Source organism: Homo sapiens, chromosome 2, assembly GCF_000001405.40.
Source record: "Homo sapiens chromosome 2, GRCh38.p14 Primary Assembly".
In the NCBI taxonomy this organism is placed as follows: domain Eukaryota; kingdom Metazoa; phylum Chordata; class Mammalia; order Primates; family Hominidae; genus Homo; species Homo sapiens.
In genome coordinates this window covers 238,598,934-238,601,065 of record NC_000002.12, presented here as the reverse complement: position 1 = coordinate 238,601,065, position 2,132 = coordinate 238,598,934, and the positions used below count along the sequence as shown (strand labels likewise).

Here is a 2,132-nt window from a genome sequence, read left to right as displayed (position 1 = left end):
AACGGGACTCCTCCTTATTCCTTCCTACACTAATTCACCTGTCTTCCCACCCTCCATGGGGTAAGCGCTGGGGGCACGGTGCTGGGTGCTGGGTGCTGGGGACAGGTGTGGGCTGGGCTCTGAGTTAGGACGAGCCACTGTCCCATTTGAGAGTCTCCAGCCCCATCATGTTCAATCCCAGCTCAGCGGATTTTCACACCCAAATCACTGCCTCCTGCCCCCAAATCTGGAACTACCAGTTTAAAAAAAAAAAAAAAAAAAAAAAGTCTGTGAGATGGACGTGGCACTGAGGAGGGGAAGTAAGCCAGGAACCACACAGGGGACCAGGCGGGCGCCAGGCCCACCCAGTATCGCCACCCGGGGACGGCTTTAGCCACCCGAGCCTCCAGCGTGGGGGGAGCGTTCATTCTCTGAGGTCGTCATGAGGCTCAAAGGGAAGTGAACATACAGTGTTCTCAAGGTGTTACATTTCTAAAGTCATCTCAAGAGACAGCCAAGCAGAAGGCGAGAGGAAGGAAAAGGCGGTGTCCACACCTGCCGATGGACTCGGGGAAACGTGGACCCTCCGCGGTGTCCCAGGGACCCCAAGCTCCATGTTCCCCAGCAAGGCCTGGGTGACACCACCTCTATTTGGGCCAAGGTGAGACCACTATGGTGGGACCACTCCCGCAGCCCCTGGGACAGGACGGGACGCCCCAACAGGGAGCCCCTCCCCACCCACGTCCCGCCACCTCCTCCCAGCTTCCCAGCGCCCTCCCCAGCATCTGGCGGCCTGCGGAGCCTCCCACTCCGAGGAGGTCTCCTCCATGGACTCCAGGCAGAGGAGGACGCTGTCCTGCATGCATCGCTCCCTTCAATGTCCCATGCCCAGGAGGCTGCGCCACATTCTTGGCAGGCGGGGCCTGCCTCATCCTGCTTTGCTGTACATGTGGGCCCCATTTGCAGGGGGCACCGCGCTGGGGTGGAGGAGATCCAGAGGGGTGGCTGTGGGACTGGCCTTAAACACTTCCACCTGAGAATGTGGAGGGAACACCCCCCAAGGCGATGAAAGGGACCAGAGAGCAGGACGCTACGCACCAGGAAAAGAGGAGTGGAGAAGCCCCCAGTGTGAGAAGGCAGGAGGGGGTCCTGCGGAGGCCGTCAGTGCCGCTGCTGAGCCTCGAGACCCCCAGCAGGAGGCATGTGGGGGACAGGAGAGCAGTGGGGTGCAGGGCCAGCCCACTGCACCTTCTTGCCACTCAGGGCTGGCAGCTACCAGGCTACCCCAAGGAGGCCAACCCCCAGGCTCTCATCGTGGCTGCTGCCCCAGCATCCGTGGCAGCCCATCGCTACAGCATTGGTGGGGACATCTGCAGGCTCTGCCAGCCTGGAGCCCTGCCCTGCAGCTGGTGAGGCACCCCCACAAGGTGCCAGAGACCACCTGGTCCAACCATCACTTCCCACACAAACAAACCAAGATGCAGGTGTTTAGTTAGGCATCAACTAGCTTGGGTTAGTATCCGTTGCCTCCGGCAGCTCTTCCTTTCCTGGTCTGAGGGGCTCCAGTGAGGGCTCCAAACAGCCCAGAGTCTTATTACTTGTATTTGAAAACAAATGCACAAAGCCGCGGGAAGGGCAAAGCCCTCCCAGCACTGGCTGTGCCTAGTCCCTGCAATCTGACCTCACTGCTCCAATGCCATTAGCTCCAGAACAACCCCTCTTCTCCAGCAGCAAGGACTTCAGGACTCCCGGGCAGACCCACGCGGGGCAGCACCCCTGCAGATCCAAGCCTCATGCACTCTCTTCCACACCTGGGCCCCTGAGGCTCCTCCACGGACTGCTGCGTTTCCTATTTCTTCCAAGACAAAATGGACCCATTCACCTTTTTCCCTCATGTCCCTCTCTCCCTTCTCCTCCCTGGTCCCACTAAAAGTGTGAGCTTCCAATGCTTCCTGGGTTTGAAAAGTTTCACATGATATCAGTACACAGAGACAGTTCATTTTGGTATTTGGGCTCTTGTCAAGGTTAAAAACCAAAAAATGGATTGACCCATCACTAGACAAAATCAGAATAGTCAAAGAGGTGACGTCATGGGGGAAATTCCTAACTCACGCATGCGCCATGGTCTGTCTCCTGGTCTTTGTCATTCACAC

The 2,132-nt window shown here is 58.1% G+C and overlaps 1 annotated feature.

The window, feature by feature from the left end:
- Nucleotides 715-1,230: an enhancer, noted in NCBI's record as "H3K4me1 hESC enhancer chr2:239508477-239508992 (GRCh37/hg19 assembly coordinates)". NCBI's record gives its function as "activates a minimal SCP1, AML or CMV promoter by ChIP-STARR-seq in primed H9 embryonic stem cells {active_cell/tissue: H9 hESC(primed)}" and the evidence as "EXISTENCE:reporter gene assay evidence [ECO:0000049][PMID:30033119]".